The following is an 18,731-nucleotide window of genomic DNA, read 5'->3' as shown; positions in this document are numbered from 1 at the left end:
GGAAGTCCTAAACAAGAACCTTATCAAATGTGAACTAACACACACCCCCCCCCCACACACACACTATATTACTGATGAAAACATTTTATTAACATACAAAAATAACAGAAATTTTCAACACTGGACCAGAGGTCTTCATGTGGGATATGTCTAACCCTAGGGCCACCTTGAAACCTTCTAAGGGGTGCCTCAGCAAGGGTAATTTTACAGGATGACCTAATTAATTTGGAATTTAAGGTAATTCTGAGCTTTCATACAGCCCTCTAACAAAAGCAAAACCGTGGCATCCACACTATTTCTTCCGTTCTACAAAACAAAGACACCACTCACCTTCCCAGCTCACTTGGCACTGCTGCCCCAAGGCGTTAGCGAACACAGAGAACAAAGCAGAAGCCTCCTACCACCCGGAAAGTCTCAAGTCAGCTTAAGGCCTTAGGGCTTTGTGACTTTCCCCGTTCTAAACTTCCGTAAAAGGGGATTTAGAAATGGGGATGTTTGGGGACTTGTTAGGATATTCAAAATGTGAATATGTGGTAAAGTGAAAGTAATGATTTTTATTGAACAAATTGGCCACTTCCCTCTCCAAGACTCCTGTCAAGAAATAAATCACTCTTGGTGGAGGCCCCAACAGCAAAAAGCAGCAAGCATCGGTGAGAAATACTGACTGCTACAAACAGCTGTTCTTCTAAGTTACTTTTTCAACTATTTAAAAACTCATCCACAGAACAATCATTGACTGGAAGGAAAAATACCCTTGGACAGTCAAAACAAAAAGAGTTTAGTGATGCTGAATATTTTAATTGTACTTGGAATAATTTTCAGGACTATCAGAATTTTCATGAGGCACTGAATAAAACCTATAGACAAAACTGCTCACAAAAAATGAAAAAAACTGACCACAATCATTTTGTGAAATATTTACTCCAAATACAGTCAAATATGAATCTACTTCATCTTATGAAATGGGAAATATTTACTACCTCTTAACAGAAAATAAATTAGGTTCTAGATATCTGCCAGTTAGTTTTTAGCAGGATAACATTCTATAGGAAAAGCGTAATCCTAGTAAAAGTTAATATTATTAACACTAAAGAATTTTATTTGATTCTTAATTCTGCCAAAAGCCAAATACCTTAGTTCAATATACGTACACACCTATATTGAAAGAATATCTTGCCTTTCATCAACCTAACTTGCTTCCTAAATAACTTGTTTTTGCCACAGATGACTGCGACTTGTTATAAGTTAAATAAGGGAAATTTTAAATCTTGACTGTTTTCACTAATCATTTACAAAAGGTGTTCTGTGATGGTTTTTAATGATTTTTGTATGTTCAAAATTCAGTAACACAACCTGAATTTTCAAGCCAGACCTTTTTCTGACAAAGTCAGTCTGATTTGATTCATGACATGGATATTTTGCTTGATTTCATTATATGATGAACATGTATCATGAAATGAATGACTAAATCTGTAGCTCCAAGGTTTTGACGAAACATATAATAAAAATATATTTAAAGCACTAACTGTGCCAAGAGTATTATATCCTAAAAGGTGTTTTGAAAGTAACAGGTTGGATTTTCCCAACCCTTTATGAATATACTGAAATAAAGGTTTTCTAGGTTAAAGAGTAACAGGTATAATGAATAATTATTTGATAGTCTTGGTAAAGCCCTTTGGGTTTACATCCCCAAATATAAGAACGAGTAAATTCTAAGTAAACACTTCTAAAAGTTAGGCACCTTTCAAAAATTCTGTTTTCAACAAAAATAAACAAGAAACTAATCATGCTGTCAGCTGAAGAATGATTTATCATCACAGATCACAATGTGATTTTTGTCACGGAAATTAAAGAACTGAGTAAAAGCCTTTCAGGTAAAGCTATAGAATTGATGCTGGACCCCCTTTCATTCTAGCAATGTCATATTAATCCAGATATATAAACTAATTGTAAAAACATTATCTCATTAAAGTATTTCCAAAAATTTTAATATATTTACATCTTGATCCATTATGCAAATGACTGAGTAAATATAGAAGAAACTTCACACATCCTTACGGTCACAATAAATAGATCTCCGTGCAATGTAGCCTCCACCTGCTGGGCTCAAGCAATCCTCCCAAGTCAGCCCCCCAAGTAGATGGGACTACAGGCTTGTGCCACCACGCCCAGCTAAGTTTTGAATTTTTTGTAGAAACAGGGTTTCACCATGTTGCCCAAGCTGGTCCAGAACTGAGCTCAAGCAATCCACCCACCTCAGCCTCCCAAAGTGTTAGGATTACAGGCATGTGCCACTGCACTCAGCCATATATAATTTTAAATGTATATACACTTGTTACAAAGATGTATGATAGTATGATCAATGACTTTCAGGCAGAAAAATACAGAGTAAAACCTGATGACAAGCTATAACATGAAAACTGGATGTGAATGTGGTGTCTCCCTCTCTCAAAATATCTTGTTACTGCACCTTGGGTAACTGAAACTATGGAAAGCAAAACCACGGATAAGAGGGGACTACTGTATTACATTAGAATAAAACCTTGTGGGAGAACTGCACCAAAAATAGAAGTTCCAGGAGAAAGAGGAATTTTAAAAGCCTTTATGTATTTTCTATGCAGATGATGGTACTAAATTTCTATGGTATGGAGACTCCACTGATTATATAATGAAGCCTGTTTTGTTTTAAATGTCAATATTTATACTATGAACTTAGGAATAGCTTTAAATGTGCAAATAGGTACAGTTTCCTTTTCAAACAATTTTTTTCAAGTATTAGGGAGTACTTGTGCAAAAAAGTTTGAAAAATCAGTGCTCAACACAGAGGAAAGGCAACCAATGACCTTTTTCAAGGCCAAAGATACTTGGAGCAGATTTTTTTTTTTTTTTTTTAAATCAGCAATGTACAGACTGAACTACTAGGAAGGACAGCTTAACATTTGTTTGCTTTTCCTGGCACCTAGGGGGAAAGTCAAGCATAGACAGGGATTAAACATTTCTACTCGAGACAGAGCCTCTAAAAATTTATTTATGGTGCACAGTAAAAGGAAAGGGGATAGCTCCTATCTGTAACTCTGCCAAAACAGTAACTCATTCATCACGGCAGTCAGGACTTACGCTACCTTTTGCAATTTCAGGAACAGGTACTAACCTTACAAGATACATTTTACCATCACTAATTATTTTTAACTAAGCACCCATTGTGTCTTAGGTTCTTGAGATACAAGTAAGAACCTGTGCCTGAATAATTTACACTCCTGTTGGGGAAACAGAAAAAAAAAAAACCCAACAATACAGTACATATGAATCTCTGCAGCACAAATGAAGGGCCCAATGAATGTAACAAAAGTGCAATGAACAAATAGAGGGAGTTGTTGCCAAAGGTCCGGGCTGTCTGGGAAGAAGGCTGAAATCACAGCAGGTCTTTAACAAAACAGAATCAAGAGAATAAGACTGATGGGCTAACTTCCTGGGGACAGAAGTAGGATGGTGCACATGCGACTCAACGCGAGTGTGATGGTGAGGGGAGTAACTATTACCCTAGAGCAGATGGTTACTGTAAAAGTTGGCAGACAGAAATCAGACTGTGAAGGTTCTTATATGCCAACAGAGAGCTGAGTTTTATCCCATCAGAAATGTGAAGGTTTCTGAGATCAGTGTGCAAAGCAACATTTTAGGAAGGTTTTTTATGACAGTGGTATACAGGAAGAGACAGCAAGAGAGAAGTCTGTTAAATTTTAGCAATAGTCTGTGTAGCAATGATGATAACAGAGGCTGGGGTGAGGATAAAGTGACTGGACAATAAAGGACATTGTGCTAAAAGGGGGAGGGAGGGACTATGAGTTTCATGGTTTCAATCCTATGTGACTGTGATAATCATGGTCCCACTGACAAAAATAAATCCAAAGGGAAAACAGGTCTATGTTCAAAGGTGCAGAGTCGGCAAGCAAGAATGGACACTTCAAGGGGAAGGCTCAATCGCTGCCCTCCATCAATCTGCCATCACCAGTGATGGTGTGCCACACTACATTAGCAAACAGAAAATCACAACCTTGCTCCTCTTTTGTTCTTTTACTCAATAGAAAAAAAAAATGACTTGTATTCTAAACTTGCTCTTGATCATACTATATACAGGCATACCTCAGAGATACTGCAGGTTCAGTTCCAGACCACTGCAATAAAGGGAGTATCACAATGAAGCAACTCACACAAATGTTTTGGCTCCCCAGTGCATATAAAAGTTAAATTTAAACAATAGTCTATGAAGTGTGCAAAAGCATTATGTCTAAAAAATACATATATACCTTAAAGATTAAATTTCTAGAAAAAGGTAACAATCATGAGTGTTCAGCAAGCCATAATCTTTTTGCTGGTGTAGGATCTTGCCTCAAACGTTGAGGGCTACTGAGTGATCAGGGTGGTAGGTGATGAAGATTGGAGTGGCTGTGGCAGTTTCTCAAAATGAGACAACAATGAAGTTTGCTCCATCAACTGATATTTGTGCTTTCACAAAAGATTTCTCTTTATCATGCTGTTTGATAGCATTCTATCCACAGACCTTCTTTCAAAATTAGAGGCAATCCTCTCAAACCACGCCACTGGTTTATCAATTAAGCTTATGTAATATTCTAAATCCTTTGCTGTCATTTCAAGAATGTTTACAGCATCTTCACCAGGAATAGATTCCATCTCAAGAAATCACTTTCTTTGCTTATCTGTAAGAAGTAATTCCTCAAGTTTTATCATGAGGCTGCAGCAATTCAGTCACATCTTCACTTCTAGTTCTCTTGGTATTTCCACCACATCAGCAGTGACTTCTTCCACTGAAGTCTTGGGCCCCTAAAAGTCATCCATGAGGACTGAAATCAACTTCTTGCAAATTCCTGTTAAGGTTGATATCTTTACCTCCTCTCACGAATCACAAATGCTTGTAATGGCATTCAGAATAGAATGGTGAATCCTTTCCAGAAGGTTTTCAACTGACTTTGCCTAGATCCATCAGACGAATCACTACCTATGCTAACTACAGCCTTATGAAATGTATTTATTAAATAGTAAGACTTGAAAGCCAGAACTACTACTTGATCCATGGGCTGTGGAATGGATATTGTGTTTGTAGGCATTAAAACCAACATTAATCTCCTTATACAACTCCATCAGAACTCCTGGATGACCAGATGCATTGTCAATGAGCAGTCATATTTTGAACAGATTTTTTTTTTTCCTGAGCACTAAGTCTCAACAGCAGGCTTCAAATATTCAGTAAATGATGTAGTAAACAGATGTGCTGTCATTCAGGCTTTGCCGTTCCCTTTATAGAGCACAGGCAGAGTAGATTTAGCATAAGGGCCCTAGGATTTTCAGAATGGTTAATGAACACTGACTTCAACTTAAACCAGCTACATTAGCCCTTAACAACAATCAGCCTGTCCTTTGAAGCTTTGAAGCCAAGCACTGACTTCTCTCCAGCTATCAAAGTCCTAGATGTTATCTTCTTCGAATAGGCTATTTCATCTACATTGAAAACCTGTTGTATGGTGTGGCCACCTTCATTAGTTATCTTAGCTAGATCTTAGCTAGATAACTTAGCTAGATCTTAGCTAGATAACTTGCTATAATTTCTACATCAGCACTTGCTGCTTTACCTTGCACTGTTTTATGGAGACAGCTTCTTTCTTTAAATTTCATGGACCAATCTCTGCTGGCTTCAAATTTTTCTTCTGCAGCTTCCTTACCTCCCTCAACCCTCACAGAATATGAGACAGTTACAGTCTTGCTCTAGATTAGGCTTTGGCTTAAGGAAATGTTGCAGTTTGATTTTTTATCCACACCACTAAAACTTTCTCCATATCAGTAATAAGGCTGTTTTGCTTTCTTATCACTTGTGTGCTCACTGGAGCAGCACTTTTAATTTCCTTCAACAACTTTTCCTTTGGGTTTACAACTTTGCTAATTTGGATCAAAAGGCATAGCTTTCAGCCCGTCTTAGCTTTTGACATGCCTTCCTCTTTAAGATTAATCATTTCTAGTTTTTGATTTAAAGTGGAAGACATGTGACTCTTCCTTTCACCTGAACACTTAGAGGCCACTGTAGGCTTATTAATTGCCCTAATTTCAATATTGTGTCTCAGGGAATAGGTAGGTCTGGAGAGGGAGCGATGGGGAAAACACAGACATTTATCAATTAAGTTCGTTGTCTTATATGGGTGTGGTCTGTGGTGCCCCAAAACCACCATGATAGTAACATCAAAAGTCACTGATTACAAATCACCCTAAGAGAGATAATAATAATCAAAAAGTTTGAAATATAGGGAGAATTACCAAAATATGAGACATGAAGTGAAAGTATGCTGTTGGGAAAATGACATAAATAGACTTTCTCCACACAGGATTCACACAAACTTTCAGTATGTTAAAAAACAAAACAAAACAAAATAGTATCTGCGAAGCACATAAAGAGAAGTGCAATAAAATGAAGCATGCCTTGTGGCTCCACAATGATTGAGCAGTATTCATCCTAAAACAAATCTAATGAAATTTACCTTGAGAACATTCACTTGCAAGTAGAAAAGCAGATCTGGTTTAAAGCCTCGGGCATCCGCCCCTTACCCAAGTCTTGGTAAGGAATCCAGAAAAACAAGTACTTCCAACTCTTCATCAGTCAAACTTAAGCCCTTTAGCCTCTGTGTCATTATAAACTCAAGACACTAACATTTCTAATCTCAAGAACATGGAGGAAATTTTAAAGCAAAAATCGTTCTCCTTCTCCACTTATCCCCATCTCCGAAAAAACCTTACAGCTGGTCACATTAGAAGTTAACAGTATTTTATATTGTTTCATTCAAAGAATGAACATCAAATTACCTCCTGATTTGCAACATTTAGTACAATCGCATTGAAAATGTCTAGTTTAAACCATACAGGAAGATGTTTATTCTACCTAGGACAACCTACCTGTTCCTGGAATATCAGGTTAAGCCAAAGTCTACAACGGGAGGCAGCATAGCACAGAGATAAAGAGCAAGGCTCAAGCCATACTGCCAGAATCTACAGCTCCCACTACTTAAACTTTGGCAACTTAACCGCTCTGGACCTCAACTTTCCCATCTGTAAACTGCAGAGAATGCCTCTCTCCATCACCAGATTCTTACTAAACAATGGAGTAAAGTACTTAACAGTGCTCCATAAATGTCTGATGCAAGTATCATTGTACCTTAACATTCAGCTCTACGCTCTCATCACAGTCGCATTTCTTGTTTGTTGATGGAACTTATATATTGCATTACATAAGGGAGGTAAGGGTAGGCAAACTTTCTCCATAAAGGGCCAGACAGTAGTATTTTTTGGCCTTGCTGGCCAGATGGTGCCACTGATGCAGCTATTCAACTCTGCCATTGTAGCACAAAAGTGGTCAGAGATGACATGAAAACAAATGAGAATGGTAGTTCTTTCCAAAACTTTATTTAGAGAAACTAAAATTTCGTAATTTTCGTATTATACAAAATATTATTTTGAGCCATTAACAAAAGGGAATATAAAAACCATAGTTTGTAGGCCATACAAAAATAGGCAGCAGCCAGATTTGGCCCATGGGTGGTAGTTTGCTGACCCCTGCTCTAGATTAACAAATTTACGGGCTTTGGAAGCTTTGTGGGGCAAGGAGGCTTGATATACAGGTTGGTGGTGCAGAACAAAGAGGAAATTTCTAAGTATAATAGAAAAAAGATGTAATGCTGTCCTTCATGTATCAACGCTGGATTCAACTATGTGCAAAACATTTTATCATATGTCGCTGGAATCAAAGATGCAGAAGTCACAGTCTCTGGTCTCGAGGAGCATATACTTCTCCATGGTAGCTTAGAAATGGAAAGTCTTCCTTCAAAGTACAATACATCCTTCTCAGACTTTGACAATGCACCCGTGCGTGCTCATCTGTGAGGCAGGTAGTTTCTTTGGCAACTACAGCTGAGGCCAAACATGCATTATTATCTTGACCACCTGTGCTTCTTCCCCTCCCCAGTAATCATACCAGTTTTTCTCCTGGTCTCCAAATTATTCTGTTTTGCATTATCATTTTGGGGATAATACTTGGGATGATATACTAAAAGTCAACTGGTCACATCTTTTTAAAAATTACCATTTTAATTAGTCTTCAGAGATACCCTCTCTCTCTTAATAGGTAACATGCTTGTGACGCCTGTGTTTTTTTGTTTCAATCCAGGCAGAAACTTCTCCCTAGGAGGCAGGATAAATGGATCTATCTCAAGGCAACAAAGACACATCACAAAAACATTTTTTTCAGAGCAAATGTTAAATACTTGATCCAACAGAACACAAATAAAGATAAAATGTAATGCTCTATTATATACTTCAGTTGGTTATAAAGATTGCGGATTTGAAAAAAATCAGCAGAAATCCACTATGTCAATGTCAGAGCATATGAAGCATAGAATAAAAGTTAACACAGCTAATAATAAATTGTTTGTAAATACTAAGTAACTATTAATAAGAAACAATAATAGAATATACTAATATTGTTTTCATGGACATCCATCTCTTACGTGTTTCCTTGTAAAAAGTTGTACTATTTGTCTTTCAAAGACAACACAATAAAAGTCAGAGTAAAAAGCAGTACTCTCAATGTTTAGTATCATCTCATCAGCAAAATCCCAAATCAAATTGGAGGGGAGGACAGAGACTCAACAGAGGAATTAAAATGGGTTAAGACAGTAAAATCTATGGCTGAGCGCAGTGGCTCACGTCTGTAGGAGGTCAAGGTGGGCAAATCACTTGAGGTCAGGAGTTCAAGACCAGCCTGACCAACATGGTGAAACCCCGCCTCTACCAAAAATACAAAAATTAGGCGGGTGTGGTGGCACGCGCCTGTAATCTGAGCTACTCAGGAGGCTGAGGCAAGAGGATCACCTGAGCCCAGGAGGCGGAGGTTGCAGTGAGCCAAGATCGCACCACTGCACTCCATCCTGGCAGACGAGCAAAAACTCTGTCTCAAACAACAACAACAACAAAATAGGGTACTGAGAGCTTATAATGTTGAAGTTCTTAAAAAGAAATACAACATGAGCTTGTTGGTACTTGGCGAAAGTGAAAACAGGCAAAGAAATTAGCAGATAGAGCTAAAAAAACTGGAAACGTAATATTTCCTCGTCATCATCAGATTTTCCAATTGCAGTTTCAGCTATTCAGTATTCAGTAATACTTTACAGGTTATTGTACAGTGCTATCTGGGATGCACAAACATCTCAGCATACATCCCTCTTATCCTAAGAGTTAACTGTATAAACTTAAAGCACTTAGATTTCCTTATTTTACTATAATCTGTAACAGTTCATCTAGGAACACCACACTCTCATATGCCTTCTGTTATTTACACATTATTCTTTATGATACTGATTATATGACTACTGCTGAAAAGCAGAAATTCATTGGCTTAAGAAATCTACTGCCCTATGTAGAGAATTCCCACGCCAAGAAAAATGTCTACTTTCCTGCTTTTCACCCTATATGATATAGGTTTGGAAACCTTTGAGGAAATTCATCTGGTTATAAAATATAAATCTTTAGAATAAAGTAGCATCACAATTTTTATTAAAAGGTAAAAGGCAGGAAGCAAGCAATGTCAATGAAATTGTTCCCTGAAAGCTACAAGGAGAAAAATTCAATTCTGAAAATACATGGGTTTAGCCTCTAGATAAGAGTTTTACCTTATCAAGTCGAAATGCACATTTTAGTTTTTAGAATTAGTTAAGAATTACTCAATACTTAGCAGCCATTTACTATGTAAAATCAGAAAAACAAGTCTTTTATTGACTAACTTCACTAGTGGCCAATGAAGTTTTTTAATAACAAAAACGTAATATATGGTAGAAAGTATTGACTTTATTAACCTCACTTACGATACTGAATACAAAGTAAAATTAGGTGGTGACCCTTAATTTTCAGTCTATTTCAAAGCATGGTCCCTCAGATTTAAGAATTAAGGCATACATATGTCAAAAAAGGAAGGCGAATCAAACAACCAAATCCAAAAAGACCCCAGTGATTTATGTATTATGAAGTTTGAGCTACAGCCCTTATGATATTCCTTTTAGTACTTTCTTCTACGTTTTCATTAATTCCTTCAGTAACTGGATTTTTAACCAAACCCTATAATCCATCATAATTCTTCCAATTATGAGTTGAAAAGAAACATAGGCAGATATGTATACCAAGTACCTTACGAAATTCACCACATACATGGTGAACTTCACATATAAACTTTGAAAATCAAAAGGACTATGATATTCTTGAAATCCAAAGGCTAGATAAGATCTACCTTCCAATCATTTCTGCATTTTAAGATATGGTTTCATCTAGTGATGTTAATAAAGAAACACATTACATATTTAAACACCAGTAAGATATGACATTCAACAGAACAGCCAATAAGATTTTGCATTTTAAAACCAAAAAGAATATATCTTGAACACCTTAAATTATAAAATTCAGTTGTAAGCAGGAACTGTTACTATGTAACGAATACTGTTCATATCAAAAGTGCTGGTGACAAAGAATTCAGTATGCCTTCCTACAAAATCTGTTCACATACATGTATCTATCTCTATCACCTGTAATAAGATTTTAAATGTTTTAAGGTGCTTAAAGTTTGCACTACAGGACTAATTCAATGAGATTCATCTGCTACCTCTTCATAGCAACTTCAATTGGAATGATCCACACACAAAACTGTTGTTACTTTCTAAAATGTGGCATTTGTGGTGGTGGAGTGCCCTCTATTGGTAAGGAAGAGGACACACTCATTAGCTGTCCTGCATGCATTTTCTCGTTGATTCGGAGTTCACACCCATCCTGAAGCATTCGAACTGCTATTCGGGCGATATTCTTAGAGTCATCAAGACCACAGTGAGGCCGCCCATCATAATCCATTCCTAATTTTTCAAGCATTATTGTCAGTTTGGTTTGGCTTCTAGGAACCTGAAAAATAAACAGCTTAGTAAATAATTCTTTGGTGTTCTAAACTGTAATATAAGCCACAGTTAAGATGAAAAATAAGAAACTGAAAATTAGCACTAACAGCTAAATAAAGCTAGGCAAAGGGCAATACCCCCACTCAAATAAGGCAAATAAAAAATTCAGGCCAGGCAAGGTGGCTCACGCCTGTAATCTCAGCACTTTGGGAGGCCAAGGTGGGCAGATCACTTGAGGTCAGGAGTATGAGACCAGCCTGGCGAACATGGTGACACCCCATCTCTTCTTAAAATACAAAAAAATTAGCCAGGCGTGGTGGTGCACATCTGTAATGCCAGCTACCTGGGAGGCTGAGGCAGGAGAACTGCCTGAACCTGGGAGGTGGAGGCTGCAGCGAGCTGAGATCATGCCAATGCACTCCAGCCTGAACAACAGAGCGAGACTCCATCAAAAAAACCCTGAAATTTTCAGAGCTTTAAAATATGATCTTAAGAGTTTCAGCTGAAAATACAGACAGGATCCTCAGACATCTAAAAACTCTGCAGTTTTTTAATTTAAAAATAATTTATTAAAGGGAATGTATTGTTCAGGACATGTAAGTTGAAGATCTACCTTTTTATTTTTAAACCAAGTTAGTTATTTTACATGGTATTTTTCTATAGTGTATTACTTTACTTGACTGATTTCTTAGATAAAAAGACTAGCCTTTTTGGATGGCTAAAGATAATGAAGATTAAGAATGAAAGACGATGTGGTGTGGTATTTTTCAGGTTATTTAAAAACCTGTTCCTTGATAAGTTAAAAAAAAAAAAAAAAAAAAAAAACTCTCACACTCCCCAAATTCCAATATGTGCCTCCACTTTTAAGAATTATTGGCTGGGTGTGGTAGCTCACGCCTGTAATCCCAGCACTTTGGGAGGCCAAGGCAGGTGGATCACCTGAGGTCAGGAGTTCAAGACCAGCCTGGCCAACATGGTGAAACCCCATCTCTACTAAAAATATAAAAATTATCTGGCTATGGTGGCGTGCGCCTGTAATCCCAGCTACTCGGGAGGCTGAGGCAGAAGAATCCCTTGAACCCGGGAGGCAGAGGTTACAGTGAGCCAAGATCACTCCACTGCACTCCAGCCTGGGCGTCAGAGTGAGGTTCCATCTCAAAAAAAGAAAAAAAAAATTGTTATATTTTCTTCATATTTCTATCAAGATTTGTTAAGTTTTACATTCTGTAGTTTGTACAACTATTTTGCCTATGCATCTTGGACCTCAGCTTCTTCATCCGTAAAATGGGACTAACAGCTCTAATATTTACTCATAGGGTTACTGGGATAATCACAAAGCAAATGATGTAAAACACCTATAATTATCTTAAGCTGTAATACTGCAATATACCCTGTACCTTCCACTAATTATCACTTGGAAAACGCACTTCTAAAAATAGTTTGCCCAACACACTGGATAACTTAGGTAGAAGAGACAAATTCCTGGAAATACACAACTTAACAATAATTGAATTACAAAGAAACAGAAAATCGGAATAGACCTATACCTAGGAAGGAGACTGAATCAGTAACTGAAAACCTCTAACAAAGAAAAGCGCTGAACCAGATAGCTTTGCTGCTGAATTCAAGCAAATATTTAAAGAATTAGAACCAAGTCTCCTCAAACTACTACAAAAAAATTGAAGAAGAAATACTTCCCAACTCATTCCATTAAGGTCAGCATCACTTTGATACAAAAGCCTGACAAAGACCTCATGAGGAAAGAAAATTACAGATCAATATCCCCTACAATTATCATGTTGCAATAATCCTTGACAAAATATAAGCAAATTTAAATCAGCAGCATATTAAAACAATTATGTGCCATGACCAAGTAGGATTTTATCCTGAAATGCAAGGATGGCTCAACATTTAAAAAATAATGTTAACACAAGCATTAACAGAAGGAAGGAGTGCAGTAATTGAAAGAGAGTGGTATTAGTATAGACATACAAACTAATAAAACCGAAGAGAGTCTAGAAATAAACTTTCACAAATACATTGAATCAATGGGGAAAAAACAACAGCCTTTTCAACAAACGGTGTTGGGAAAACTGAATATCCACGTGCAAAAGAATGAAGTTGGACCCTTACCTTACACCATATAACAAAATTAACTTAAAATTGATCAAAGACCTAAATGTAAGACATTCAATTATAAAATTCTTAGAATAAAACATATGGAAAAGGCTTTATGACAATGGATTGGACAATGATTTCTTGGATGTCACCAAAACACAGGCAACAAAAGAAAAAATAAAGTAGACTTCATCAACATTAAAAACCTTATTACTAAAGACGTTATCAGTAGAGTGAAATGGCAACCCATGGAACAGAAGATACATTTGCAAGTATATATCTGATAATGAATTAATATCCAGAATAAAGAACTCCTACAACTCAAAACATCATGATACCTCATTTAGTAAATGAGGAAAGAATCTGAATAGACATTTCTCCAAACATGATATGCCAATGGCTAAAAATCACATGAAAAGATGCTCAACATCACTAATCATTAGGGAAATACAAATCAAAACCACAATGAGATACCACTTCACACCCATTAGAATGGCCATAAACACACACACACACACACACACACACACATACACACACACACCAGAAAATAACAAGCATTGACAGAGATGTGGAGAATGTAGTACTTTGTGCATTGCTGGCAGGAATGTAAAATGGTACAGCCACTGTGGGAAACAATGTGGAGATTCCTCAAAAAAATTAAACATAGAATTAGCACATGCTCCACCAACTCCTATTCTGGTTATACAGGAAGAAGAATGGTATCTGTACATCCATGTTCATAACAGCACTATTCATGATTGCCAAAACATGGAAGTAACTTAAATGTCCATCAAACAATCAATGGATTTTTTTTTTTTTAACGTGGTACAGGTTAAATATTCCTTATCTGAAATGCTTGGGACAGAAGTGCTTTGGATTTGAAATTTTTTGGATTTTGAAATATTCAACATTTACATTACACCACTTTTGCATCACTCATCCGAAAATCCAAAATTCCAAAACCTGAAATGCTCCAATGAGAATTTCTTTTGAGTACAATGTCAGTGCCCAGAAAGTTTCAGATTTTTGGAGCATTTCAGATATTGAATTTTTGGATTAGGTATACTCAGCCCGTAAATACATACAATGAATTCTTATTCTGCCTCAGAAAGGTAGAATTCTGACACATGATACAACATGGATGAACTTTAAAGACATTATGCTCAGTGAAATATGCCAGTCACAAAAGATCAAATACTGTACGCCTCCACTTATAAGAGGTATATAGATAAGTCAAACTGATAGAGACAGAAGAATGATGATTGCCAGGGTTTGGCAGGAAGGGGAAGTTCAACAGGCACAGAGTTTCACTTTTGGAATATGAGAGTTCTGGAGAATGATGTGGTGATGGTTGTGCAATAATGTGAATGTACTTAATGCCACTGAACTGTTGTGCACTTAAAAATGATTGAGAGCATTTTTAAGTGAACAACAAGTGTTATACAGGGTGGGCATTCCTAATCCCAAAAACCCAAAATCTGAAATGCTCTAAAATCCGAAACTTTTTGAGGGCCAACATAACGTCACAAGTGGAAGATTACACACCTCATGTGATGGTTCGCAGTCAAAACACAGGTACATGACACATGCTTAATTTATGTGTAACTAAGAAAGCTATTGCTTATTGGTAGCATCAGGAAAGATGATGCCAAACAACCAGACTGTCCATATCAGTGGCTGAGACAGTGACAGTTCTGCTTTCTAATGGCTCAATGTACATACACTGTTTCATCCACAAAACTGTATGAAACTTAACTTCAGGCTCTGTGTATGAGGTATATATGAAACAAAAATGAATTTCATATTTAGAGTTGGGTCCTATCTCTAAGGTATCTCATTATGTATATGCAAATATTCCAAAATCTGAAAAAAACCCCAAATCTCAAACATTTCTTCTGGTCCCAATCATTTCCAATTAGGGATACTCAACCTGTATTATGTACATTTTAACCACACACACACACACACACACACAAAAAAAAAAGATTAAAATGAAAAGTCCTAGAGAGTGCCCAAAAAAGAGTTATTAACTTTATTAAACAAAGGCCCAGTCACTTCATCGTGTTTTTAAAAATGATGTGAAATCTAGACAAAGAACAAACCAACCTCTTGCTTCCTCTGGCTTAGCAAGGAAAAGTTCTCAATCAAGTGGCTGAGTTGAAAGGTGAACAAGAGGAAAACAAAAAGGCCAGATTTTGCTGAGCAGTTGGAAGAAGCGCTGCAAAACGCAGCCTCCTTACAGACATTTTTCATCACATGAATCAGCTGAACAAGTCCCTATAAGAAGCTGGAGAAAATGTTTGACTTCAAGTGACAAGATTCTTGCATTTCAAAGGTAACGGAGTATGTCTTTGGAAATAATCATGTTACAACAGAAAACCTTAAAATGTCCACCTTTTGCTTGGGCTTGATATCAAGTGAGGAAAGCTATTGGAAAGTCTCAAGTCTGAGTGCCACATGGAAAAACTGTAGGAGATAATTAAATATTTTTCCTCCCTTTCAACACCAGCATATGATTAGGTAAGGGATCCTTTCTCTGAATCTCTGCTCAGCCTGAGAATCTGACTTCAAGAAAAGAGCTTTATAGGTACAATCTGACTGTACACCAGAGACAGACTTAACGCTCTACCCCCAGAAAAGTTGTGGATTTCTGCAAAGTATCCTGTCATTCATTTGAAAGCAGTAACACTTCACTGCACTTTCAACTTTCTACATGTGTAAGCAAGCTTTTTTTTTTAACATGCATGAAGAGCAAAGGCAGAAATTGTCTAATTTCCTGAGAAAAAGAATCCATGTGAGCTTATCTTAAATTCAATCTAAAATTGAGTATTTGTAAAGGGAGGACAAAAAAAAAGAAAACACATTTTACAGTCAAGAGGTGTATTTCATCCTTTCCTTTTACTTCAACAACAGCATTGTAATGCATATACATAGGCCTATAAAAACATAAAGAGGCTGGGCCTGGTGGCTCATGCCTGTAATCCTAGCACTTTAGGAGGCCGAGGGGGGGCAGATCATTTGAGGTCAGGAGTTCAAAACCAGCCTGGCCAACATAGTGAAAGCCAGTCTCTACTAAAAATACAATAAAATTAGTCCAGGCATGGTGGGAGGCACCTGTAATCTCAGCTACTTGAGACGCTGAGGCAGGAGAATTGATTGAACCCAGGAGGCGCAGGTTGCAGTGAACTGAGACCCCACCACTGCACTCCAGGCTGGATGACAGAGTGAGATTCCGTCTTGAAAGAAAAGAAAAGAAAAGAAAAGAAAAGAGAAAAAAGAAGAGAAAAGCAAAAAGAAACAGCTGTATAATTTTGTAAATGCTAACTCCACATTTGCGCTTGATATGCCACGCACAAAGAAAGTTTGGGATTTCCCCCAAAATCTTATACAAAAATCTGTCTTAAACTGTATTTTTATTTATATTGTTTCAGCCTACTTTTAGAAAAACCAAGTCCCATCCTAAGCGAATTATTTCACAGAAATGTATTACAGTTATTTGCCTTTTAAATTAAGCTCCAAGTTTAATTACCCATTTCCACCCTTTGCCCCCAAGAAAGACTGGATAGAAGGTCATTTTTGGCCAGGCGCAATGGCTCATGCCTATAATTCCAGCACTTTGGACGGCCAAGGTGTGCGGATCACAAGGTTGGGACTTCAAGACCAGCCTGGCTAATATGGTGAAACCCCGTCTCTACTAAAAAATACAAAAAAATCAGCCAGACGTGGTGGCACATGCCTGTAATCCCAGCTACTCGGGAGGCTGAGGCAGGAGAACTGCTTGAACCCGGGAGGCAGAGGCTGCAGTGAGCTGAGATCATGCCACTGCACTCCAGCTTGGGAGACAGAGTGAGACTCCGCCTCAAAAAAAAAAAAAAAAAAAAAAAGTCATTTTTACTTAAAAAAAAAATGTTTTTAGACATACCATATAATATACCTTATTAGCATTATATACAGCAGAAACTTGTGACAGAGAGTTTTATTTAGGTCTTAGATAAGGTACAAAAAAAGAAGGAAAACATAAGTTTCTTCTACTTATACAACTAATTGCATTATAGTTATCTATTACGAAGAGGGGAAAACCACACACAAAAAGAGCAGGCTAACAAACTGGCCAAAATAAACAGGTGCACAAAGAGAAACCACTGTTTACTCAAAAAAGGAGGGAGCATTTTATTGCCTTATAATATCTACAACTTTCCGATTACACTAATATACTGTGAGCTGTAGATTTATGCATAACTGACTGAAAATTATTTTAAGGTTTATTAATTTTTAATAATAAAAATTATTCCATCTGGGAGTTGTAGCAAAAAAAGAACCTAAAGGGGATCGAGCTTCTCAACTGGAGTATAAACTGACATGAAATACAAAAGACAGAGACACCTCTGAAACCACATTCCAGGATATGATTACAAAATCCAGATAAGGGGAAACACAACAGGACAAATGACTCAGTTTCTTAAAAGAATAAAGTAAAATAAACTGCTAGGGAAGAAAAAGAAGAGATTAAAAAAAACTAAAGAGATGTATTAACATACCAAACATATCAAAGACTAAAAAACTTAAGAGACATATTAACCAACTACAAATCTGTGAACCTTATCCTGATCTGACTCAACACACAAAAGGTAAAAGAAAATATTTATGACTATTTGATGAAGGAATTACTGCTAATTTTTTAAGATGTCACAATGGTATGGTAGCTGTGTTTCTAAGAAAATGACCCTTAGCTTTTGGAGCTACGTAATGAAATTTTTACAGATCAGATAACATAATGTCTGACTTCTGCCTCAAAATAATAAGGAAGAGGAAAGTGGGTGGGGATACACATGAAACATGACTGGCCATGAGTTTCTAATTGTTGAACCTGGGTCATGAGGACTCATACCTATTTCTGTTATGTTTGAAATTTTCCATAACACAATTTTTAAAAAAATTCACAAAATGAGTTCAAAAACACAAAAAAAGATCCACAAAAGGCCAGGTGCAGTGGCTCACGCCTATAATCCCAGCACTTTGGGAGGCCGAGGCGGGCAGATCATTTGAGTCCAGGAGTTCGAGACCAGCCTCACCAACATGGCGAAACCCCGTCTCTACTGAAAATACAAAAATTAGCCAGTTGTGGTTGTGGGCGCCCGTAGTCCCAGCTACTCGGGATGCTGAGACAGGAGAACTGCTTGAACCCAAGAGACAGGGTTGCAGTGAGCCAAGATCGCACTACCGCACTCCAACCTGGGCAACAGAATGAGACTTCATCTCAAAGACAAATAAACCAAAAAACAAAATAAATTCACACAAAAAGATTATCAAATATAATCAAAGGACTAGCACCCAAAGTAAAAATCTATAGACCAGTAAAATACACAGGTAATGAAAAAACAGACTACCCAATTTTTTTTAAAACAGTCAGAAATTTAAATAAGGGGTTCGCAAAAAAGCAATCCAGATAGCTGATACCTCAATGAGATGGTATCACACACCCGTCAGATTTACAAAACATTTAAAATGTATGACAATATCAGATGCTAGCAAAAACTTACAGTAACTATAAACTCACATAGCACTGATAAGAGTGCAAACTGGTACAATTCCATTGGAAAACTATTTTTGTATTATCTAGTAATG

The 18,731-nt window shown here is 37.1% G+C and overlaps 1 protein-coding gene across 8 annotated transcripts in view; it reads right to left on the bottom strand.

Moving 5' to 3' along the window:
• ERI1 (exoribonuclease 1) overlaps positions 1 to 18,731 on the bottom strand; it is a 97,208-nt gene that overhangs the window by 59,321 nt on the left and 19,156 nt on the right. For 5 of the 8 annotated variants that reach the window (XM_005272401.4, NM_001354636.2, NM_153332.4 and 2 more), the window contains one exon: positions 7,446 to 10,992. The exons of 2 other annotated variants lie outside the window; for them this stretch is intronic. In XM_005272401.4, the coding sequence (XP_005272458.1) occupies positions 10,750 to 10,992 (243 nt within the window). In that variant the 3' untranslated portion in view covers positions 7,446 to 10,749. Of the gene's footprint in view, positions 1 to 7,445; positions 10,993 to 18,731 lie in introns of those variants that run through there. One more of the 8 variants, XM_011543849.3, reaches the window with a different exon arrangement.

This window comes from Homo sapiens, chromosome 8, assembly GCF_000001405.40.
Source record: "Homo sapiens chromosome 8, GRCh38.p14 Primary Assembly".
In the NCBI taxonomy this organism is placed as follows: domain Eukaryota; kingdom Metazoa; phylum Chordata; class Mammalia; order Primates; family Hominidae; genus Homo; species Homo sapiens.
The sequence above is the reverse complement of the archived record's forward strand: the minus strand, read 5'-3'. Positions and strand labels throughout refer to the sequence as shown.